Raw genomic sequence first — 27090 nt, 5'->3', positions numbered from 1 at the left:
TCACCATGTTAGCAAGGATGGTCTCGATCTCCTGACCTCCTGATCCGCCTGCCTCAGCCTCTCAAAGTGCTAGGATTACAGGCCTGAGCCACCATGCCCAGCCCCAACTCTCATTTTTAAAACCATCAGATCTCCTGAGACGTATCCACCATCACGAGAACAGCACGGGAAAGACCTGCCCCCATGATTCAATTATCTCTCACTGGGTCCCTCCCATAACACATGAAAATTACGGGAGCTATGAAATGAGATTTGGATGGTGACACAGAGCCAAACCATATCAGTGGCACCAATAGACTTGCTCAACTCAGGGTTGCCACAAACCTTCAATTTGTAAAAAAACATAGTATCTGCAAAGCACAACAAAGTGAACCACCACAAAATAGCATATGCCTGTGGTTGGAATCATACAGTATGCAGCCACTTCATATAGCTTCAATCACTTAGCAGTACATATTTAAGGTTTTTCCATGTCTCTTTGTGGTTTGGTAGCTCATTTCTTTTTATTATTGAATAATATTCCCTTGTCTGGATGTATCACAGTTTGTTTATCCATTAACCTACTGAAAGACATCTGGGATGTTTAACCAAGTTACCCTAGTTAAAGTTGCTTGTTATAAATGTTCTAGTGCAAGTTTTTGTGTGGACTTACGTTTTCAGCTAATTTGGAGTTCAACTCATTTCATACTTTGGAGTGTCACTGCTGGATCACATAGTAAGACTATGTTTAGCTTTGTAAGAAACTACCAAACTGTCTTTCAAAGTGGTTATATGACTTTGCATTCCATCAGCAATGAGTGAGAATTCCCATTGCTCCACATCCTCACCATCATTTGGTGTTATCAGTGTTTTGGATTTTTGCCATTCTAATAAGTCTGTAGTGGTACCTCAATGTTTTAATTTGCAATTAGCTAATGACATACAATATTGAGCATCTTTTCATATGCTTACTTGCCATATGTAAATCTTCTTTAGTTAGGTATATGTTTAGAGCTCTTGTCCATTTTTTAATTGAGTTACATGTTTTCTTATTTTATTTATTTATTTATTTTTGAGACAAAGTCTCACTCTGTCACCCAGGCGGGAGTGCAGTGGCGCAATCTTGGTTCATTGCAACCTCTGCCTCCCAGGTTCAAGCAATTCTCCTGCCTCAGCCTCCCGAGGAGCTGGGGCTACAGGCACATGCCACCATGCCTGGCTAATTTTTTTGTATTTTCAGTAGCGACAAGGATTCACAATGTTAGCCAGGATGGTCTTGATCTCCTGACCTCGTGATCTGCCCACGTCGGAACTCCCAAAGTGTTGGGATTACAGGCGTGAGCCACCACACCTGGCCATATGTTTTCTTATTATTTTTAAGAGTTCTTTGTAGTATATTTTAGATACAAATCTTTTATCAGATACCTATTTTACAAATATTTTCTCCCAGTTTGTGGCTTATCTTTTCATTCTCTTAACAGAAGCTTTCCTCAAAATAGAAATTTTTAATTTTAATGAAATCCAACTTATTAATTTTTTTCATGGATCATATTTTTGATGTTGTATCTAAAAAGTCATCAGCAAACCCAAGGGTACTTAGATTTTCTTCTATGTTATCTTCTAGAAGTTTTATAGTTTTTTGTTTTATATTTAGCTTTGTGATCCATTTTGAGTTCACTTTTATGAAAGGTATAAGGTCGTCTAGATTAACTTTTTTAACACATAAATGTCCAGTTGTTTAAGCACTATTTGTTGAAAAGACTGTCCTTTCTTCCTTGAATTGTCTTTGCTCCTTTGTTAAAGATGAATTGACTATATTTGTGTGGGTCCATTTCTGAGTTTTCTACTCTGTTTCAATGATCTATGTTCTTTCAACAATACCATATTATCTTGATTACTTAGCTTTATACTAAGTCTTAAAGTTGGAGACTGTCAGTCCTCCGATTTTCTTTTTCTTCCTCAATATTATGTTGGCTAATGTGGGCCTCTTCCTTTCCAAATAAACTCATGAATTAGTTTGTCAATACCCACAAAATAACTTGCTGGGATTTTGACTGGGATTGTGTTGAATATACATATCAACTTAGGAAGAAGTGACATCTAAATATTGAACCCATCTATCCATGAAAAGGGACTATCTCTCCATTTATTCAGATCTTTGATTTTCTTTCATCAGAGTTTTATTGTCTTCCTAATATTGATCTTATACATATTTTATTAGATTTATACCTAAGTATTTATCTTTTTGGTGTTAATATAAACAGTACTGTATTATTAATTTAAAACCCCAATTGTTCACTGCTGGCATCTGAGAAAGCAATTGACTTTTGTATATTAACCTTGTGTTAACACTAATCACTCATTAGTTTCAGGAGTTTATGTTGTTATTGATTATATGGGATTTTCTATACAGACAATCATGGCATTTGCAAGTGAAGAGTTTTATTTCTTCCTTCCCAATCACAATGTCTTTTGTTTCCTTTTTTTGTTTTCTTGCCTTAGCTAGGACTTCCAGTATAATGTGGAATAGGAGAGGTGAGAAGGAACCTCGTTGCCTTGTCCCTGACCTTAGCAGAAAAGCATCCAGTTTCTCATCAATAGATTTTTCATGAAACAAACCTCCATGTAACTATCAGACAGGTGAACAAACAGAATGTTTCCAACATACCAGAAAATTCTGGAACCTCCACCTCAATTTATTACCTACCTACAATTTAACCATTATTCCAATTTTGTTATCATCACTTCTTGCATTTCCAAACACTAAAGTCTAGTTTGGAACTTTATATATATATATAAACATACTGTATAATTTTGGGGGGTAGAGGTTTTCCACTCAACTTTTTATTTCTGCAGTTCAACCACTATAATCTGTGCTGTAATTTGTTCATTCTTATTTCTGTAGAGCAGAGGGTCACCAAGATTTTTCTGTGAACGGCATTATTTTCCAATTCTTCATCAACCTCAAACCATAAATGGGAGCACGGTACTGACCCACCAAATTTAAATAGGCTTTTAAAGTTTCATCACATTTTTCAATAAGAAGAAAAGCTGTTTCACGTTAGTGAAAAGAATGGTAAGGTTTGTAGTATTTCTTCAAGGTTTTTCTATCTAGTTCAATGATTTAAAAAATGTTTTGGGCCGGGCACGGTGGCTTATGCCTGTAATCCCAGCAGTTTGGGAGGCTGAGGCGGGCGGATCACAAGGTCAAGAAATCGAGACCAGGCCAACATGGTGAAACCCCATCTCTACTAAAAATACAAAAGTTAGCTGGGTGTGGTGGCATGCATCTGTAGTCCCAGCTACTCAGGGATTCTGAGGCAGGAGAATCACTTGAATCCAGGAGGGGGAGGTTGCAGTGAGCCGAGATCGCACCACTGTACTCCAGCCTGGTGACAGAGTGAGACTCCATCTCAAAAAGAAAAAAAAAAAAGAAAAGTTTTGAACTGAACATCTAAGTCCAAAACGAAAAAAACAAACAAAAAAAAAGTTTTGAACTGAACATCTAAGTCCAAAACGAAAAAGTCTTCCTTTTCTATGCATAGTTACTGCTAAATTCAGTTTGTGCTAATTTATAATTATAGATTTTCAGGAATGACCAGTGTTTAGGTGGCTCTATCAGAATGCACCACGTAACAAGATTAAACATGAACCTGGAAATTATGTAGATTTTTCACCGTGGGCCACTTGGACCACTCCATCAGATGCTATGTCAATAAGAATATTGCATTGAAAACCTTGTCAATTTTGGAGATAACTGTATGCAATGTATGACTTAGCCGTAGTCAACTTTATTAAGTTTTCATTTTCTACTGTAGAATTTGAACTTTTAAAGACCAAACAATATGTATCATTGAGATCTTTTACTGAGGAATAATAAAATGATCAATTATTAAGTAAAAGTCAAATTTCTGGCAGTTAAACCAGTATATCACAACCATTATATCACATTATCATAAGGATGATGCCCTAGGTAACATTCCAGATAAAAGTCGTCACAAAGAACAAGAGATTTCTTCCTAAGTAATTGTCCTAAGACAAGTATTAGCTTCAATCCTCCTTCTATCAACTTCTGAACAGCAACAAAATTCTATGTTTCTATATAATCATTAATACATATCTTTTAAGTTTTTCCTAACAGATAGGGAATCAGTCTTTCCAGTACACTGAGCCGACAAAATTGATATATTTGTGTAGCAGATTATGGATAAAAATTCAGTTCAATTCAGTTTCACCACACGGAGTGAATAAAGAAATTAATGTATCTTTTACCAGGTGGTAGATTCAAGCAGACATATTAAGATAGTCTTATTCTCAGATATGAAGAAATATAAAAGAAAAAAAAACAAAGTTTAGAGCAAAAAGAGATTATAATGGCAAAACTGCAGATACTATATCAAAGGAAATTTCCTTCTTTTCATCAGAATACTCAAAATTCTTAACGGCTCTCTATCAGAAAATACAATTAATATTAATCTATTTTACATTAAATATTATTATTGTAAGGTATCATTTTATATTATGTTAGTAAGTATTGTCACAAATCAAAACTTAGAAGTTACAACCAAAACACCTGCATATTTTGTAGAGGAAAAAATCCAAACAATATTGTCAGCACATTATTTCTACTAAAACCTGAATAGCAATAAAAACTGAGAGATGAAAAATATGTACAGTACAGATGACTTACATTTGGAGAGTTAGACTTTAATTCTCTCTCTCAGGATTGAGGAATCTTATTCTTTGTGCTTACAATGCTCCTTTCTCCAGAGTATTCTTCTACTTCCAGGATAGGTCAGGACAAAGCTTCAACAGACTTCTATTATTTGTTTGATCTAGAGGGAAATTATACTTTTAATCAATTATTACAAAACGCATCAGTTTTTTTTTTCTTACTGTACTGGGGGGTTGAAGCTTCCTATTATTTTCTGTTGGATATGAGGTGAACAGAAATATAAGAATTGCCTTGTTAAACATTATAATAAATAAATCTAGTATTTAAATTAACACCACTAAAAGAAACCCACATCTATCTTCTTTTTCCTTTTTATGGCTAAGCAGCATAGCAAGAGAAAATTAATAATCAAAATCTAAATGACTACAAAGCCTACTCAAATGTATTTTTTAAAAGACTTTAACATAATTTTGCAAATCCGTGAGTTTGAATGGACTGGCAAAGACGATTAGGTATGAGATATTTTTACTCATTTTTTTTAATGTCTTAGGGCTGAAGAATTACAGGATGATTAGAAAAGTGTAAAGGAAAAAATGTTTTTAAAAATTTTAATGGAATAATAAAAAAAGATGATTTTAAGAACATGAAACAGACCAGAAACAGTACAGGGCCTGTAAGACAGCAAGAAATCTGGAATGAGATTTTTTTTAATGGTACAAAGGTTGGGAAACTGCTACTGAAGCAAGGTATATTGGACATCCTAGCATATTTAACATGGGTATGTTCTAAATCTGGTTTCATCTTAATTCTCAAACAAATTTACAAGATGTAAAAATGCAACACATCCCACCTTTCTTTACAAGAACACAGAAATGTGATAGATGAATATCTGACCTTTGGTGAGATGAACATTCATAAGTTTAAGAGAATTTGTTCTATATTCAAATTTTATCAAAACCTAAGTTTCCAATAATGGGTATTTTCTGCATCATTAAAATTAAGAATTAAGACAAATATCTTCGGCCTGGCATGGTGACTCACGCCTGTAATCCCAGCACTTTGGGAGGCCAAAGCAGGCAGATCACTTGAGCTCAGGGGTTCACGACCATCCTGGCCAACATGGTGAAACCCTGTCTCTACTAAAAATACAAAAATTAGCCAGGCATGGTGAAATGCGCCTGTAATGTCAGCTACTCAGGAGGCTGAGGCACAAGAATTGCATGAACCCAGGAGGCAAAGGCTGTAGTGAGCCAAGATTGAGATCATGCTACTGCACTCCAGCCTGGGCAACAGAGTGAGACCCTGTCTCAAAAAAAAGATAAATGTCTTCAACATGTGCCATTACCTGGATCACATCCCCTTGCCTTATCTTGAAGTCACTCATACTCCCTTCCACTAAATAATAAACTGGAATTCAGGGGGAACATTTAAAGCAAAATTATATATATACACGCACACACACACACATACACGTGTTTAGGGCAAATGTGCATGATAGCACTTTAAAGTTAGTTTTTGCTCATAAACTTAACACAATATACTGGTGGTATTTATTAAAAAAAAAAACTATTGTGAGAAAATAGTTAAAACAAAGCCAAAAAACATCTATATCAGAATAGCTAAAATACAAAAAGTAAAATATATGTGGGCAAAAGGGCACCTCTTTAAACCATCATCTATCTGATCACAAATTGATACTTGTGCAATTTTCTTCTGTTTTTAACCAATGTAAATGATATTCGCAATTATTTACCTAGAATATCTCAAAATTATTTCAAGGTGAAATAAAAACATAAACTTCATTACTGAAGATTAAAGCTATATCCACTGAAGACTAGATTTTAGGATTAGAGTAGGTGTTTTGTTTTCTTTTCTAAAGATTCAACTAATCTTGGCCAAATTTGAAAGTCTTAGTACTGAAACTTATCAACAGGCACTTTCTAGATGAATATATCCACATGGCAGTTCAAGCACAAGTAGTTCTGCTTTAGTTTCCAGAACACGGAAGTGGTTTTGCAGTATTTTGGGTCAGTGAAGACCAATGCACATTCCTTTAGGGAAGCTTTTTGAATTGACAAAGGATAAATGATTGACATCAATAACAAATACTTTTTGTTGTCCTGGACTGACATGTCATTTAGAACAATACGTATGCTAATTAATGCCATCCATATCTACCAGATGTGTCAGAGGAGTATGCCAGACTCTTCTTCACAGGATATAGCTTTAGTGTGGCTAAAATTACATTATCAATATGGAAATGCATCCCTTTGTGATAAAGAACTGAACTACTCACACACACACACACACACACACACACAGAAAATATACTTTTCATGATAGAGAAAATCCCATTTATATGTACAACTAGCTGTACTTTTTCTTAACCTTAACCCTAATAATTATAGTATATAATGTGCTAAAATACTAGTTGAGGTCTTCATAAACCACACTATCAACATGACACTTTACTATAATACATTAAAATTTCATTTGCAGATTCTCTCAAGTATGCTGGTAGTCATTAACAACTAGAACTATGTATTAATCATCTTCATTTCCCATCCCTTAGGACAGAGCTTGGTATATAGTGGGCACCTTTTTTTTAAATAAACATTTAAGTCACCAAAATTATGTAGAGTATATATGTCAATGAATTCACCATATACAAAGAAAGAATTACAAATGTTGTCAACTAAAACTAGTCATGAGATAAACCTATAAAGAACTCTTCTTATTGTCTGGTAGTTTTGGGGCTCAGAAAACAATATCCCAAAATGAAGGCCTCAGAAGTAGCCTCAGAAAGCAATGTTTGTCTCTGATCTTCTGCACTCCTGTCTCTCAGTCCCATTTTCCCCCAAGGCTAGCCATAGAAACTAGAATCCCTCCTCCTCAAGGGAAGTCCTAGAAATCAAAGCCCCCTTTCCTCAAAGCTAGTCAAAACCTAAAAATATTACTCTAATTTTTCCCTCACCTTTCTGTGCCATAACTTGCTGTAAAGAAATTATCTAACCTATACTATTTGACTGTAGGTCTTCAGATCCCCGGAAAGTCCTGCCCCGTACCAGGAAGGAATGCATGCTCAGAGACCAGGGAGAATCTAGACAGACAGGCCTTGCTGGAGTTCTCCACTCAGTCTATTAGCATTAAATCATACACTTTTCCTCCAATATTTCTACACAGCTGTCTATAGTTTGTTGAGCCTTTGCATAAAAATAGAGAACTTCCCCTGTATCTTTGGATCTTCATGCTGAGGGCTCCTATGTATACATGTTAAATAAGTTTATATGCCTTTTTCCAATTAATCTGTCTTTTGCAAGTTGATTTTTTTGGTGAACCTTCAGAAGGCCAAGGGTAACTTGCCCCTTTGGCTCCTACAATAGCTAGCACTGAATAAATGTGAACTATAATCCAGTGATCGTTAGTCCTGGATTAGCTGGGATAGATGTGGTTCATACCTATTGCAATTATTAATAGCTATCCCTTTCCCTCTCAGAAGTGTCCCAGTTTGGATGGTAATTTTACACATTCATCCAAAGTATCATTAGTGTATTATTCATTTATCATTTATTTCTTTTCATAAATAAATTACTGTTTTTTTCTTTTTCATTACTTTCCATGATGCTGTTACATGAAAAAAAAATCATTTGTTGGAATTAGAATGAAAGAGATTCCATTCTTTCAACATTAATAAATTTATATAGACGTTCTCAGAGTTTAGTAAATCTTTACATCCTTGAAACTAAACATTTTATTATCAGGACAGGAATAACCTAGCTGAAAAATCCAATATGACTTCTTAATTCTTAGTTTGCTTAACTTCTCTGCTTCATTTAGCTCATTGTTTACTCTTTCCTTCTCAAAACTCTTCCTTTGGTTTGCATGATACCACTCTTTCTTAATTCCTCTCCTAACTCTCAACCCTGTTTTTCAGTCTTGTGGGTTACTATTCTTACATGTGCCTCTACCATGTCAGTTTCCTCAAGATACCATTCTAGTCCCAATTTGTATTCTTTTTCTTGAATCAACAACTACTTGTTGCAAATGATTCTCGAACATATACATCCAGTCCACAACCCTCCCCTAACCTTCACATTCAAAGTACCTACTGGTTATACAATCTCCTTTCTGGTCCCTTATCCTTCATTCTTAACTCTCTTGAATCCATACTACACACCCAACCCAAGTCTTTTTGTTATTTGTTTTTCTGAATGTAAATCTGATAGGATTGCTCTCAGACCAAGGAAACAACCAACAGTTATGGAAGGAGTGAACATCTGCGGAAAACTCCAAGGCAACATAAAACAGACTGAATCTAAACCCACTAGAATAAGTGATCAGTTACTGGTCTCTCATTTGTAATCCCAACTTATTTTGACTACAAAAATTTTTGCATGTAGTCGTTAGGTTTCAAGGCAACAATCACCAGAAAGAATAATATGATAAATATCACATACAACATAAGGGTCACAAAATAAAATACCTAAAGACAAAAATATTAATTAGGCAAGGCGCAGGACAAAGGAAAGTTTCATGGTACTATGGCAAAGTCTCTAAAGAGGTGTTTTTTTAAGACCCATAAAATTACTGCCATTACTGCTTTGTAGGAATGTAGGTTTAGTCTTGCCAAATCGGAATTTCCCAGACAGACTGGTAAATCATTATGTGTGTGCATGAGAGAGAGAGTGAGACAGAGTCCAATTTTTAAGATTTAACAACTAAGTTCATATTAAAAAAAAAATAAATACCAACAAATAATACTTGCAAGCTCTGTAAAGGACATGGACCACTCCCTTCTTTTTTAACACGAGGGTTAAATGGATGGGCTAGCCTGCGACCTGACAACCAAGTACAACATGTTTTCCAAATAAAAGTCTGGTTTGAGTTTTGAACAATCAGTAAATATATTTTGCTATACAACACACTTATATTTTGACAAAATATTTGCTATTGACTTTTAGCACTTTAAAACATCTAGTAAATGCAATTTTTCATCCTCTTTTGCTCAGCTGTCTTCCACTGACTCTTAAGTATCTTCACTTGAATATTCTGATTCTGACTCTTACTCAAATAATGGCTGATATATTTTCAGTTCTATCCCAAGTCTTTTTGTTTGTTTTCTTAAATATTGTTTCTTAAATATATACCAAAGAATACTAAGTGTCTCTAGAAAGCATCTTAAAAGCAGTCTCTCTTCCACCTACTACTATAATGATAGTTTTTCCCTCTTTACTCCAATAACAATTTCAAATTCATATTTCTCACATCTACCAAATGTCTTCAAACATCCCTCTCATCATTATCTTTACAGAATATGCCAGACATACCTTTTGCAAATATATAATATGTTTTTATAGTACATTAGACTGGCACAGGGGGAAGTGGGGGAACACATTAATGCCTAAATTTAATATATGTGACTTCAAGTCATCCAACTATTTCCCTGGTGCCTCTTCTTACAAGTGCATCAACTAGGATAGGGAGGGGCTCCTGAATACCTACCAAATAAAACAAAACTTATTAGCCTAAAACCTAAGGCCTTTCATTCTTAGGATTGAATTTGCCTCTCCTTTACTTTGTTTCACTTATCTCTACATTCTAGAATCAAACTGAGCTATTAGATATTTGCTTTGATTTTTTTAGAGTCTTAATTTGCTCCACTTAGCATGTCTCTATTCAAATTCTATTTGTCCAAATGTTACCATACCTTTCAAGCCTCAATTTAATTACCATTAACTCCATGAAATACTCCCCTATTCTCTTAGCCAGGAATAAGCTACTCAAATAGCATTTTCTCTACAGCTCCCCTCTAAAAACTGTCCATGCAATCTACTATGTAATACATTTGTCCACATACCTGATTTCTAACATTTAATTTAAAATTATTTGAAAATAGAGAATGTATTATTCATCTGTGTTTTTCTTAACAATGTAACTTTATTATGAAGAAATTACTGAGTCATTTGACAAGGAATGGTATGGAAGATAGAGGCAGAGCTATAGTATAACTCAAAGACAGTTATGTTAAGTCCTTCTTAATCTTTTGTTTTCATCAACTGCAAGAAATAATTATCACTGCCATTATTTCCAAATAAATAAATCTGTCAAAAATATGTCTCATGCCAACCAAGTCATTGGCTTTTATAAAAAACTTACTAGACAATCTATACTGAGATAGTCAAATAAAACACGTGGTTTTAAATAACTTATTTAAAGTTCTAAGTCAACATTAAAATTTAAGATTGTTTTTCATGAAAATCATGTTACATGACAATTTCTTTTAAATGATAAGATAAATGTCTTTCCTAAGGCCCACTACATACAATATGAAAAGTAAGATTAAAACTAGCATACTGTCAACTAAAAGTCAAGTTTGAAAAATATTTGAAGAGATTTTTTCTCAGCCAAATATGAGTACCATGACCTGTGACACAACACCAGGAGATCTTGAGGACATGTTGTTGACCTTAGCTTGGTTTTATACATTTGAGGGAGACATAAGACATCAATCAATACATGTAAGATATACAATGGTCTGGTCTTGAAAGGTGGAACAACACAAAGTGGGAATGGGTCTCCCGGTCATAGGTGGATTCAAAGATTTTCTCATTGGCAATTGGTTGAAAGAGTTATTATCTGAAGAACTGGAATCAATAGAAAGGAATATCTGGGTTAAGATAAGGGGCTGTGAAACCCAATCTTTTATCATGCAGATGAAGCCTCCAGGTAGCTGGCTTCAGAACTCCTACTGTTACAGTGGGTAGCTAGTCAGACATGAGCAGAGCAGGAGAGAGCTCTTCTCCCACATGCACACACACACCAAAAATGTCAGGCAACCAATAACATTTCAAGTTATTGTTAACTGTCTCTGTAAAAAAATAACTGGTGGCAGACAGCACCAGGAAAAGGCAGTCTCCTGATAGAAAAAAACTAAAACTGGTGATCAGCAGCTTCTGGATAAGATCTCAGGAGTTGGGTGAGTGGGAGGAAGCATGTGCATTAAGAGGCAAAATGGCACAGGTTAACTGGTGTATGACTTTCTAGTAATACTCAGACTGGTAAGGGAAGAACGCCTCAAGTGAACATGGGTACAACCTCAGTAAACACACTGCACATGCTCCCCTCCCAAGTGTTAGCAAGCCACTGTGCATACAGACAGTGCACCCCAAGGGAAGAGTCAGCGGAGAAGGGATGCAACCCCCCAGAAACATGCTGACATACAAAACTCCAAGTCAAAAGGTCAAACCGCACATTTGATCTCTTAAGTCACCCACTTGGCCCTCTTCTATGCATACTTCCTTTCATTCCTGATCGAAAACGTTTTAATAAACTTTCACTCCTGCTTTAAAACTTGCCTCGGTGTCTCCTGCCTTATGCCCCTCAATCAAATTCTTTCTTCTGAGGAGGTAAGAACTGAGGTTGTTGCAGACCCATACAGATTTGCTGCTAAAATACTTTCGTGCCACATGACACAGACACTTTCCACTGCTAACATTATCAGACCTAAAATGGTGCCAGATTCCTTGCTAATTCTCTCCTGCATCAGGGAAAAGACCTGAAAAGGGATTCCCTGTAGAATGTAGCTTTTCCTCACAAGAGACAGCTTTCCAGGGCCATTTCAAAATATGTCAAAGAAATATATTTTGGGGTAAAACACTTTAATTATTTTAAGGGTCTGCTATCTGTCATGTGATGCTATACTAGAGTCACGTTGGAATTTGGTGTCTTATTGCTACAGGGTCTGTTTTGTCAGTCTTAAGATCTCTGTTTTAATGTTAATGCTGAACAGCTGCGCCTGAATTCCAAAGGAAGAGGATATAATGAGGCATGTCTGATCCCCCTTCCCATCATGGCTTGAACTAGATGTTCAGGTTTACTTTGGAATGTCCTTCCTGGATGAGAGGTGGGTCCATCAGTCAGTTGGGGGTCTTATAATTTTATTTTTGGTTTACAATACCCAACATATATAGGGTCATCCAAGTAGTTGTTAAGAGTCAGAAACAGGAGTACTAAGTCATTTTCTAAATTCTATTAATAACTGTATTAGCAGCCAATTTTAGAAAATGGAATACTTACATGAGTTATTTTAGGGAAAAGAACTTATCTACATAATCTTTGGGTCAAGATTGGTACCTGACATAACGTAGATTGTCAGTGAATGATAAGGATCTTCTAACTGGGAAGACTTAGTGAGACTCTGGTTCAACCCCCACAATTTACAGAAGAAATTCACAGAAGTATTTTCCCCAGAATCTCAGAGGGTATAAATGGCAGAGACAGGATTTGACCTCAGGATAACTGTCCTAAATCCAGCAGTCTTTTCTTTTGGAAATCCAAATTTACTCACTATTCAGTTTATATATAAATATACACATATAGTATTTAATCTCTTTGAACACATTTTGAAATACTAATTTCCATTAAATAATATATTTAATCAAAAGTAGAACATACCAATATTCTTTGTATAAGTTGTCCACAGACAATGCTTTTTATAACACTTTGAAGTTCACATTAACCATTTCACTTATATATTTACACATTTTTAACTGTAGAGTCAAATAAGGGTATCAAAACTATAAAACTAATAATCTTCCATTCTCAAAAAGGCACAACAAGTATCAGCATCAATGGATTCATACTTAAAGGAGATGTACTTACACTTATTTTTTGAATAATTTCTGAGTAGTTGATGATTGTTTATTAGCTTGTTTATGATGTGGAAAAAAATCTCAGAGCAAATAGGCAGGAGAGGTGGAAAAAAAAAACCCACCTTATCTATATTGCCCTGACAATTGAGTTTGGACAACAGTATTTTCTAAATGTACCCTATTCAAGGCTGGATATGTAATTACCTTCAGTTCATAGTCTAGACATTAATGCTTTCATAGTATTTAAGACTCCTTGTAACATGCTTGCAGCTTTAAGTAAGCAAGGCTAAATCTTGACCAGATAAATTAGCAAAGAATGCAATAAAAGCTGCAATAAAAGAACTTTATCCTACAAACCTTCAAGTTGCTGCTAAATGAGATTTCTTTGAAATGCAGATCAGTTGAACTAGATTAGTGAATTTTAGCTCCTGTCAACATCATAACAAAATACAAATACAATTGTTCACTGGTCTTATCTCCATGCTTCCATCTGCTGCCTTGTTATTTACTTTCCTTGATTTACTATGCAGATCTAAATAAGGCACATCAAGGAGGGCTTACAACACAATGGCTTCTTAAGCTTTACATCAAGGTATTTGAAACTGAAGCCAGGAAAGGGCTGCCATCAAAGACATATCTCTAATGAACTTCCATATCAGAGAAGGTTTGGTATTTAATACTGCTGTGAAAAGAAAGAGCTACAAATCAGAATGGCCTATGAAAGAAAATGCCTACAAATCTTGATGAGATTAGCACCTCTGAGAATTAATATCCCAATAAAAATGATGTCTGGTACATTCAAGAGTTAACTTCCAACCTTTGCAAATATAATGCACTATGTCAAGAGCAGGGAAATCATTTGACAAGGTTAAAAGGTCAGGAAAGAATTTTTAATTCCCCCCAATGCTAGAAAATAATATTTTTTATTTCTGCTCATAGTAACTCCATGTCAGAAGAAACACATTTAAACATAATTAACACAACTAACAGATTTGTAACATTACTTTCTACGTCATAAGCATTTTTCACTATTGTTCAAAAAGGAAAACTAGGAACAACTACACAATAAAATAATGTAATCTAAAATGACAGCATGCAACATTTGTTCATCAATTCTAGTATTTTCCTTTTCTTCCCCCACAGCAATCTATGGCAACAGAGAGTAAAATCTTCTGTCATTTTGCAAATCCTGAGGTGCCATTTTTATTTTATGGCACTACTCTTTTTAAGAGATACAGATAAGGAAAAAATTTATTCTACCCTTTCTTTAACCTAATTGTGTTTTCCCAGTTTTATTTCTAATATGCCAAAGTCAAACAAGACAATAATTCACAAATCTAATGTGAAAGTTTCCAGCAAACTCTACTTACATTACTATTTGACAATTTCTTTCCCATAAGCAATAAGATCTATAAACAAATAATACTTTTTTCCTAAAGAAAACATTTCAATCATTTATGTCATTCTATAGCAAGGTTAAGATCCCACAGGCATGTTCTGTTCCGTGGATCAATCAGTTCCAAACCAAAGTAGACATGTTGTCGACTCCAGTGCCTGGAAATCCTGCTGCAGGCTCACCAGATGATGAAAACTGAGGTACGCAGTGTATGGGGGCCCCACATGGCATTCAGTAGCTTCTGGGCATGTCAAACTTCAGAACTACCCTACGGTCAATGACAGCAAACACCTTCCCTGTTCTTGCCTCCAAACATACACTTGCTTCTCTACCCTCCCTCCAAATCACGGGCAGTCTTCCAAAAACAAAGCCCCAAACAGAAGCAACCTCCCTTGACTACACAACAGAAATCACAGTTGTCTTTTTGCTGGATTTCATTTCATGTAGGCGATGTTCCAGACTTATTTACAACCACAAGAGACTGTTACCTCTTCTTGTTTAATGAAATGACAAAACAACAGATTTGCATATGCAAAAGCAGGTGCTGTAACAGGTTTGACTACTCTTGACCTAAAGCATGTAAAAGAGATTTATTTGCAACAGCTGTCTCAAAGGTATTGGTGCTCTGATGGGCAAACACTCTACCATCTGTAGAAGTATGTGCTCAAAATGACAATCTGAATTCAAAACTGATCAATAGATCTTCCCTCATCTTTATCCATATGTTGAAATATTAAGATGTGTACATAATAGACTATTTTACCTATCAGTCACAGATAAGAAAACTAAAATTAGAATGTTGACATGTAAAAATTATGTATTCAATAGATAATGTCGGAACAATTTGTTTCATCATTGTGCCACACATACTGTAAGATACCAGATACTGTATTTTAATTATACTATTATTTTATATAGTAAGTCTTCATAGTATTAATAATCCTACTTGCTGGGATAATGGCCAAAATAACTACTTTCTTAGATTTCTGCTACTTTATATTCCTTAACTATTTTTACATTCGAGCTGTAGTTTTAGATCTTGAAGATAATGAAATCGCGTGCACTAGTTTCTTAGTCTCTCTTACTTTTAGTTTCAATTTAGACAGGTACATTTTTCCACTGAGATTACTATTTTCTTTTAGATAAGAGGCTACTTTTTCCCTTCCACACTAAAGTCTGAACATAACCTCTCACTGAATGGAATGACTTGTTTTTGTGTTATATTTGCAGAAGGTAGCACCATATGCCCCAAGCTCCAAGTTGGATGCTCTTTCTATGGTCTAACTTGCTTGTCAAAAGATGTTACAATCACAAACCTACAATGTTTAGATAAACTTAGTATTGCATGAAATAAAACACAATTTTTCTCACTTTCTTAAAATGTAACAAATTGATCTCTAATAAATGCAAAAGGTTTGTAAAGTTCAAATAATGTCTGAATTATAAATAAAAGAACATGGCACCATATGATTGAACAAAGAAAATAACACACACACACAAATTCTCTCTCTCTTACATAAGTTTAAATAAATTCTCTATGATTAAGAACAAAAACCTTGTCTCCTTTTTGAAAAAACAGAAACAGTATGTAGTGTCCAATTTTCAAGCTGACCTAAAAATAATCAATGACTTCTTAAATAGAAGTTTCACAAAAATAGTCATTTTTATTTTTACGAAAATCATAATTCATTATGAAAATTTGAGTGAAATATAACTACTTATGCTAAATATTTCTGCAATTCAGCTGTATATCCTTGAAATTTTGTTTTAACCTCCAGGAAGATTAAAATTTTGCTAGCATAGTATTCCTTTGTTTGTTTAATTATGATTTTGCCTATTTGCTCATTCATGATGAGGAGATGGTATCTGACCATGGGAAGGGGGAAGGAAAGTCTATACCTGCAGACAACTGGTTTACATTTTTCCCGTTTCCCTTTTTGTTTAGTTACTTTAGCAAATAAGAATTAAAATACCATTTAGAGAAAAAAAATGGTATTCGGTGGCCATTTCTAACAACTGAGATGAGACATTATGACCCCTTCAAAGCTTTTCCAAATTTTTAAAAACTAAAATTATTTACTTAATAGGTTGTAACTGCCTTTTCTCAGCCACAGTAATCCATCATGTGAATAAATATTTAGACAGTATTTTAAATGTGTACAATGTACTTGAGGGAATGCCACAGTTCCAGGCTGTCATGTAAATACAATCTGATCAAAAACATTCTGCTTGTATAATAAAAGCCCTGCTAGAAACACATAGTTCAGCCAAAGAGAGAAAATTGATATCTAGGAAAACCACAACAGTGGAAAGTGACCACCAGTGACATAATTGCAATTTTAAGAAGTTTTGAAAGTTTTCTTTGGTAAAGTAGACATCATATAAAGAATATATATCTATTTTAAACAGCTATTAACATTTCTTAAAAATTTGTCATTTGTGAATAAAGATGATATATCCATTTAATAAACAACACAATGCAGCAAAAACAATAATAATAAAGTAGCACTGTATGTACTATCAGGGAACAATTTCCAGGGCTATTAAGTGAAAAGGCAGAATACATCAAAGAGTATATATTGTTACTATTTGTGGAAAAAATGTATATAAAGATACATTTATGTTTATATAAACATTGACTATTTCTAGAAACATACCAAGACACTGGTTTTAGTAATTTCTCCTTGAAAAGTGGAAATGGATAATGAAGGCAATGCTTCACAAACTTTTTAATGACAACACAACATAGAAACTGATATCAATTATAAAACTGCACATTAGGACAAATGGAGGGCTACCTTTCCCAGGCCCCACCCTGCTTTTGTTGCATGCTAAAAAGATAACTATCTCTTCATCCGGACCCTAAAATAATTGAGGCTCAGCAGGCTACAAGATACTATGTATTATCTACCTTTAAGAATTGAAGTAAAATCAAATAAGCCAAATTGACTAAATAAAGCTTATCGATAAAGATTAGAAACGTATTAATATATCTAGTCAATCTTCTTGCAGTTTAACATATTTAAAAATTAGCACTTGCTAGAAAATCTAAATGAACACTAAACGGTATTCATATAATCCCTCAATCTTTTTAATTTAAAGATGCTGCTGATAATAATGTAATTTTTACCATATACGTCAAGAGTCCTCAAACCAAATTTCCTGGCTCTATTTCACTACATGATGATGTGTTTTACCATGTCCTTAGTATTTCAAGAAATTAAAAGGAAAAAAATTCAACTCAACATGAGCGTACTAAAATTGAGTCTAATTTTATCCATGACACTGCTATATTTTACTTTTTACTTATTTTAACACATACTTACATAAAGCAATTAAGTCGAAGGTTTCACTTGTTAATTCAAGAAGCTCCAGCTGATGTTCATTTCTTTTTTATTTTGAAAGAAACTATTTTATTACTTTAATGAACACAGTTTGCTAGATAAAAAAAAAATGTTAAATGGGGGAATTAATAATAAAGTAACTCTTTGATGGTAATTAAAGGGCTAGTGCTGCTGATGTTAATCTGACCTCAGCAAATAGTGCAGGTGAGCTAGAAGGCACTTTTTGTAAAGAAAATAAGATTTATTTCTACCTCTCACAAGGTCATTCTGGTTTGTTTTCATAGTGAAACCATGTAACAGCTTTTTTATTAGTTTATATGGAAAACTTATGCTAATAATCACATATTACATATTGGGCAATTATTTATAATAATTATGTCAAATGATGGAGGTATTCCAAGGAGAAAAGAAGTCAAGACCACTGTTCACAAGTAACTGGTAAAAGAGTAGGACTCAAACAAACCAACCAACCCAGGAGAAAAAGTTCTACATGGCTAGAAAAAAAAATTGAACACTTTTTCCAATAAGAAAAATGTCTGATGTTCCATGAAAAAAGGCACAGAATTCAGTGACATTAGGATATTTAAAGAGTTCTTAATACTGACTCCTGCTCTGTCTCCAGTGCTTAATCATTCAAAAATATTTGCATGTGCACCATATTCCAGAGGCTATGTTCCGCACTAACAATTCAATGATTTAGCCAGCCATAAGCTGTATAAAAGCAGAAGTAAGGGTAGGGACGGAGAACACTTGATGTCAAATATTAACTACATGGAAAGAGGAACTGGAGAAACTACAGGCATATGGATGAATAAAAAGTAGTAATCCAAACAAGGATGAAAACCTGAACTAGAACAGTAGAAACGGAGATGAAGCAAAGAAGACAGATGTGGCATATTTATAAATTAGTGTCCATTTCACTTTGTGATTGATGAAGAAAAAGGAACATAAGAGGGAAAATTGAAAATGACTTCCAGGTTTTCTGGCTTCATTATATGTGATTGATAGCCATGTCTTTCAACAACATAGTGAATATACAGGAAAGCAGTTTGCTTGACTTCATTCTTATCTTACTTCTCTTTTATTTCAAACTATACTTCCTGGGCAAGCTTCTCAAGAGAGCAAGTATCTAATGGAAAAAGTCTTCCTCTGCACCAACTAATGCAAAATTAACCTTGCCTTAGTTGCAAAATTATTAATACGAGCATTTGGGCATCTAAATATGTGAGTGGGAAAAGACTGAAAGGTACAGATTTCAGGTGGAGAGGATAAGTGAACGTTGCCTACAAAGAACAAAAGAGAACAGCCAAACGTTGGAAAAATACCAGTAAGAGTATTACAGAAATTAAGGAAAAAGAAAGTTTTTAGAAAGAAAAAATAAATCATGTTACATGTTGCAGAGTAAAGCAAATTTACCAATATTTTAACCTCAAAAAAAGGACCTGGATGAGAAGACTCAATAGAGTTTAGTTCTTTCTAAATTAAATCATAAACTCAATGTAACTCCCTTCAAACTTCTGATGAGATTCTTCCCCCAATCCCCGCAATTCACACAATTACTTAAAAGATCTACATCGGTGGGGCTTTGCCCTAAGAGATAAAGTGTATTATCAAGCTGTGAGTATTTATGTGTGGTTAATGCCCAGGCTCAATGATGCTAATAGTCTTGGCCTCTCTGTGCAGTTGAATGGCTTGTAGAATAACACAGTGTGGCCACTTGAACCCCTTATTTCCATCCTAGGAGAAAAAAGAAGAGCTTCCAGAAGTGATACTGATTAACTACATGTTATGGTACCTACTGTGTGGCAAGGCTCAACCATATAAACAGCTTTGAGAATTCTATCCTCCTTTCTCTCCTCCCCTTCCCAATCTGGGTTTCCACTGCTCCCAAATACTCAAGGTGGGAGTTATTCCCATTGACTTATTTACTCTTAAGATGCAGGCAGAAAAGCCAGGGATGAGGAGAGGCTAACTACTAATGAGATAAACTAGCTCATTTTTCTTTGGAAGATATGTTTTAAATTAAATTATTTTTCTTTTTTGGCTTTATAGACTAGTATCAAATGATCATTTCATTGGCAATACCCTTTGAGCAAAAAAAATATACTATTTATCATACAAATATAAACATGGACTTGTGGCAGACACAACAGGGTTTGGAGGAGCCTTTTGGTGCATGCAGTCTGGGTATACCCAGCCTAAGCTTGCTTCTCTGGGGGTGATGGTTGCTCAGAGGATCAAGGGTACTTTGTCTGCACCATGTCTGCTTTAAAATAAAAGCCTTGTTTTCTATTTCACTACATCATGGCACTAATGTGTCTCCTGCCCTCTGCACGAAACCATATCACACTACAAAATATAACTGTGTTTACACCTGCAGAAGAGAAATTCTGGGGACAGCCAAATAAAAAAAGTAACTGTTATCAACATACAAAAGGCTGTCAAAAAGGGAACTTCATAGCATTTTACAGTTTGCAAAATCCTATCATATAAATAATCTATTTGATCCCTATAACAACCCCATCTTATATATATGTAAAATGAATTAAATAACTTAACCAAGAATAAATTAACAAGTAGCTGATTTGTGATTGAAATCCAAATCTTCACATACCAAGTCTTATTCCATTTTCTCTATACTATTCTACCTAAGGAATATTTCATGTAATTTCTGAGTATTCAAGTAGGGACACTGACTTTTAAAGAACCACATTTTTGCTGGATTTGAGGGGTGTTGTAACTGCTAAGATTATTCATCTATACAACTGGTTACCACAACAAGTAACAATGAGTAGAAATGGTTAGGATGAAGCTAGGTAGGTGGCCATCTGTCAAGCTGGATGTTGGACTGGATGACCTTTAAGATCCTTTCCAATTCAGAGGTTTCATAACTGTAGGGTGATAATGATGCTGTTTCAGCCTGCTGCCAAGTAACATGTCTATTGTTTTTCCTGCCTGTCACACACAGCAATGGCAACAACAATTGTTTTCCTCCTATGCCATGACAAATTTATATCATAGTATCATATTAGCAATTAGCATTCCTGAAGTTTTTTACGTTTATAATGTTCAAATACATTCTAAAGATGCTGTCAAAATTTCATCTTAAAAGGTGTGAAAATAAAATTCTTCTGATGAATGACATGCCCTAAAGCAATATCCCTGATCTCTCTCCTTTCTTTTCTTTTCCAACTTCATCAATCGCATCCTCCTCAATCTACCATTGCCTGTACTGATTAACAGAGTGACTCATTCATTTATCCACTCACTAATTCTATAAACATTCATTGAATCTATGTGCAGAGCATTCTTCCAAGCTAAGAAAATAAAAGGTGAGGTTTAGAACCTTACTAGCGAACGGGGTCATATGTCAGGGAAATCAATTCAGGTCAATTCAACATGTATTATGCCTAGTGTTCCATTATTGGAACGCTAAGCATGTACGAGTTATTTATACGCTACTGCTCAAAGTCATTACCAAGGTCTAACTTTTCACACATGTAAAAATTCAAAAAATTGCAACCTCTGAAATTACAGCTAACAGTAAGTTTACATGGTATCTAGTTTAGATCCACCACCAAAGAGGGCTGAGTTGGTTTCTGAATCCAGCTAAACTGGCTAAGTCTTGAAGGTACAAGTTTCACTTTACCTTAATCTTTGGTTATAAAGCAAATGAAACCCACCACTCTACAGAAAGTACCCAGTGTCAGACATAAACACATATAGAATACAGATAGAAACATATACATATGTAAAGAATAATGTTTTGCTACTTTAAAATACTTTAATCAAGTCCTATGTCAAAAGATTTTGAATAAAAATGTAAATAATGTTTACACACAACTTCTAGAATTTCATTTTTCTATACAATAGGATAATTTAAAATAGAAATTTTTAAACAGTAAAATTTGCGAAAATCTCATCACTTTAACAACTTTATTGTCTCTCTATAGAATTGCATATATGTTCTCTGCAGTTATTACCCATTCTGTATTACTTAAATATGTGTTTTTTAGAAATTAAGCATTTTAGCCTTCTTCAGTAAAACTGTAGAAATGGCAAAGCTATAGTTGTGCACGCGCCTGTAATCCCAGCTACTCGGGAGGCTGAGGCAGGAGAATCAGTTGAACCCGGGAGGTGGAGGTTGCAGTGAGCCGAGATCACACCCTGCACTCCAGCTTGGGCAACAAAAGCAAAACTCCATCTCAAAAGGAAAGAAAAGAAAAGAAAAGAAAAGAAAAGAAAAGAAAAGAAAAGAAAAGAAAAGAAAAGAAAAGAAAAAATGGCAAAGCTACTATTTTAAAATAACTGCCCAATATTTAATTATTCAAAGTTATCTATTTCAGAATGTTTACTATTTGTTAAAATAAGATGTAAGGTCTAAAATGGAAGATTTATTGATCATTTACATAAAAAATTAAAAGCAGTGGACTACTGATCAATGTCTTAATTGTATCCTTTATTATTAGTCAGAAAGATAAACTTCAGTTTATAAAACAGTATTTTATTTGAGCTCTATGGGGGTAAGAGCACATATTATTATTATTCGTACTGTACAGAAGAAAAAATAAATTTAGAGGGCTTAATATGTCATGGAGAATAGGTGGTAGAATTGGTACTCAGTATCGAAACTCCATGTGACATTTTTAGTGCTCAATTCCCTGCTTTAATCTAATGCTGCCATCCCAGTAGTTCAAAGAATTTTAAGGAGACCAACTCATGTTTAAGAGTCCTTTTAGCAGCTCAGATTGCTCCAACAAGGCAACTAACAGAAGAGTCAATTTGAACATTAATAGCGTTCAGTGGATAATAAAAAGTGTTCTTTTCTTAATACTATCATCCTTTTGATAACACTCATTTTAAGAGCTCTGTTGTATCATGTTACTGTTGTACTCAAAATAAACAATAAATAACCTAATATTTTGCTGCCTGTTCATTGATCACTCTTTCCATGTAAAATATTTGGCTACATATAAGTATAAACATGTTCAGAACTCTGAACACTTCTGAACCAGCATGGCTCCCTCAGGTGAAAAATAATAATTTTAAGGGTCTTAGTTTAATAATTTACATAATATATCATAATTTAAACTCTATAGTTAATATTTTAATATGTCAGAAAATATTTTGGTATTTAAGAAAATAATACTCAACATGGTTAGAAGATCTACTATCAGAAAATTTGTGACAAACTGCTTGAGGTTTAAATACTTAGGAATTAAGAACTGAAGATGATGCTCATATTTACATATGTAAAATGAAAAAGTCATCCAATGTAATACTAACGACTATTAAAATTTAAATGTCACACAATCAGATAAGTAAAAGGTTTATCTGATTGCTCAAACTGCTTTACATTAGAGACAGTAAAAAGATGAGCAAAATAAACTATATAGTTTAATTTGTAAATATACTGTTTCAAACTGGTGAACTATATACCATAAACCACAAAGAAAATTAAATAAAAATACAGATACTCCTTGACCTACAATGGGTTTACATCCTGCTAAAGCCATCGTAATTTGAAGGTATCGTTGCTGAATACACCTAATCTACCGAAAATCATAGCTTAGCCTAGCCTACTTTTAACATGCTCAGACACTTAACATTAGCCTGCAGATGGGCAAAATCATCTAACCCTGAGTCTGTTTTATAATAAAGTGTTGAATATCTCAACTACTGCATTTGATCTTTGCACTGTGGGCAAAGATCAAAACTCAAAATCTGAAATTGGGCAGGTCTGCACCATCCTAAAATCAGAAAATTATAAGTCAAACCATCATAAGTCAGGGATGGTTTCATACCATCATGAAGTTGAAAATTATTAAGTAGAACCAGCATAAGTCAGGGACCAACTCTAAGATAGTTTGGTTTTCAAAGCAAAAAAAAAAAAGTAAACATTCAAATAATCATTTGTGGTACACGATGAATGCTGTTTTCAAATATTTCTGGTCCCTGCTTTTGGACACATGGTAGGATTATACTTTCCTTCTTTGAAATCATGTGAGGCTGAGTGAATTACTTTACCAATGGAATGTGAACAGAAGCTTTAGAAGCTAGCACTGTACATGATTCATTGTATTCTATTCCTGCTGTTAAAGTCATAATGGAAGTATATGTTAAAATGAAGCTTCTGACAACCTAGTTTTCTTAGTAATTACAATTAGCAGAGAAACCTAACAATCTGTATTGAAATTGTAACCTCAGGGAAAAATAAACTATTGTCATACCAATCCAAATAGACTGGGGGTGGGGGGGCATTGTTTGTTACTACAGAATAACCTATCCCATCCTAACTAATATGCTAATTTATATTCCATTTTTTAGGAGCAAGGGCAAATTATGAAAGAAAAACTCAATCTCAAGAGAATCTAATCATAGGCTTTATAACATGACTGTGATAAATTAGGCCTTTTAAAGTACAGTAGTACTAAAATGTATATTTCAAAATGGTAAAAAGCTTCTAAATGATTTCGGAGATACTGTGGGACACAGCTGATTTCTCCATACAAGTTGGAAGTAGGCTATTATTATTATTATTATTATTATTATTATTATTATTATTGAGACAGGGTCTTGCTCTGTCCCCCAGGCTGGAATGAAATGGCACAACCACAGCTCATGGCAGCCTTCACCTCCTGGGCTCAGGTGATTCTCCCACCGAAGCCACCTGAGTTGCTGGAACTACAGGTGCATGCCACCATGCCTGACTAATTTTTTATATCTTCTGTAGAGACAGGTTTCGTCATGTTGCCAAAAGTGGTCTTGAAACCCTGGACTCAATCGATCTTCTCACCTCAGCCTCCCAACATGTGGGAATTACAGGCATGAGCCACCATCCGTGGTCAGAAGTGGGCGTTAAATTTTTTTTTTCAAAATGCTGTGTTCTCAAAAATATCTCAGATTTATATTTAATCTTCTTTTTCCTTAATAGCATTATCTGCCTAATACTTCAGCCTATATATTAATAAATAGTTAATCCACATGGAGAAAGGAAGAGGAACATCATTTGCTGAGCACTGACCATATGCCAGAAAATAGGCAGAGTGCCTTGAGTTTAAGGTGAATATGATATGGCAAATGCCAACCAATTCCTTTTGAAGAGTTTAAGTCAATATAAATGGTATAATATAATATAAAATGTAAGCTCTTACTTTCCACACTTTTCTACTTAAAATGGACCTTCTGGAAATTATTCTAAATGTTCCTGAATACTTAGCATTTCATCTAGCCCCTCATTTCAAATTCATAGTTTATATATTTTTGAAGATCTAATTTTTTTTGGAATTTATAATATTAAGAAAATTGATATTTATCTACAAATAATAGTGCTTCTAAAATATTTGTGCTTCCTAAGCTTAAAACTGTAAACTCAAAATAGAAAAAAATCTAGCCAGGTGCAGTGGCTCACGCCTGTAATCCCAGCACTTTGGGAGGCCAAGGCGGGTGGATCACGAGGTCAGGAGTTCGAGATTAGCCTGGCCAATGTGATGAAACCCCTGTCTCTACTAAAAACACAAAAACTGGCTGGACGTGGTGGTGGGCACCTGTAATCCCAGCTACTCAGGAGGCTGAGGCAGGAGAATCGCTTGAAACCTGAAGACGGAGGTTGCAGTGAGCCGAGATCCTGCAATTGCACTCCAGCCTGGCGACAGAGCGAGACTCAGTCTAAAAAAAAAACAATCTAATTCTTTAAAACATTTCTAAAAATTGTTTAAAGATTACTGAGGCATAGCAGTGAGCAGCGGGGAAAGAACAGAACAAAAAGTCCAACCTGTACCTGACTATGAACCATCAATTGAGATTACTAAGAAATAACCCAAGTGTTTCCTTCTTTGCAAATTTTATTAAAATTCTGTAATTTAATCCACAGTAGAGTAGTCCGTTATTTTATACCTGTAGCCCATGGCATCCTAAGTAGGGATGTGCCATGCACTGGCAGGTAACTAGGCTGTTACAGTTAACATTCTAAATGCAGCCACTACTGCTGTGGTGGTGCCTCCAAACTTTATTCATGCCGCCACACACAAAGGAAGTGATGGTATTTGGAGAGCAACTTGGGTTACCTTGCAGCAGTGACAATTGACTAAAGGCTCTGGCTGCCCCAGGATTCTTTAGCACCCTGAGGGTGGAAGGGATCAGCATCCTGGCACATCTGTTAACTTACTGTGACTCATCAGCTTCACCATTCCGTTCATCCCCTTCAGACCAGCTAAGAATCTAATTTTTCACAAATACTTTATTAACATATATAAATTTCCTAAGTCACCAAATAGAGGAACTTTAGTTTGAGGTCCGTTTTGGGAAATCACACCTTTTCTTGAGAGGCTCTAGCAAGAGTTTCTTGTAATACTCTGTTTCTCTGTTGTTATATAAAGCATTTTACTTTTCACAGATTTCCACAATTAATGTGGCAAATCCTTTAATGATATTGGGGGAAATGCTTCTTTTCCATTTATGCTGCTTCCTGGGACTCGTGGGGAGCTCAATCATGTAATCCCTGGCATTCTCTCATTGCCTTATTGTCTCTTATCAGGGTAAGAAGAGTGACTTAGCTTACTGGTAAATATGGGCCTTTCTTTTCTTTCTCATTTTATTCAGAACTTAAGTGAGGAAGAAAGATGATTTATTGGGCCCCTGTAGAGACACTCTCCCACCATCATAATTAAATTATCCAATGGGAGTTGCCAACAGCAAGCTAAATTATTGGTTTAAGAAATCATAAAATTATCTGTTGTCTATATAATCCCAGCTTCAGCACAAATACTTTGCAAAGTCTTACACAAGTTGATGTAGGAACAAGGTACATCTGGTTGAAACATCCTTGTGTATCACAGAACAAAATGCTGAGGCTGACAAGTCACAGTAAGTAATAGGTGTGCCAGGATGCTGATCCCTTCCACCCTCAGGGTGGCTAAAGGAGCCTGGGGCAGCCAGCACCTTTAGTTGATTGCCACTGCTGCAAGTTAACCCAAGCTGTTCTCCAAATACCATCATTTCCTTTGTGTGTGGCGGCATGAGTAAAGTTTGGAGGCACCACCACAG

At 34.9% G+C, this 27090-nt stretch overlaps 1 protein-coding gene across 1 annotated transcript in view, besides 1 other annotated feature; it reads right to left on the bottom strand.

The window, feature by feature from the left end:
- The window catches only part of FOXP2 (forkhead box P2), a 607439-nt gene that overhangs the window by 526008 nt on the left and 54341 nt on the right, over positions 1 to 27090 (bottom strand). The gene's annotated exons all lie outside the window — the stretch shown is intronic.
- Positions 13251 to 14268: an enhancer, noted in NCBI's record as "VISTA enhancer hs720". NCBI's record gives its function as "enhancer in: midbrain (mesencephalon)[5/7]" and the evidence as "EXISTENCE:transgenic organism evidence [ECO:0001131][PMID:17130149]".

The sequence above is a fragment of the Homo sapiens genome, chromosome 7, assembly GCF_000001405.40.
Source record: "Homo sapiens chromosome 7, GRCh38.p14 Primary Assembly".
Classification (NCBI taxonomy): Eukaryota; Metazoa; Chordata; class Mammalia; order Primates; family Hominidae; genus Homo; species Homo sapiens.
Note: the sequence above shows the minus strand (reverse complement) of the source record. Positions and strands in the feature narration are given on the sequence as shown.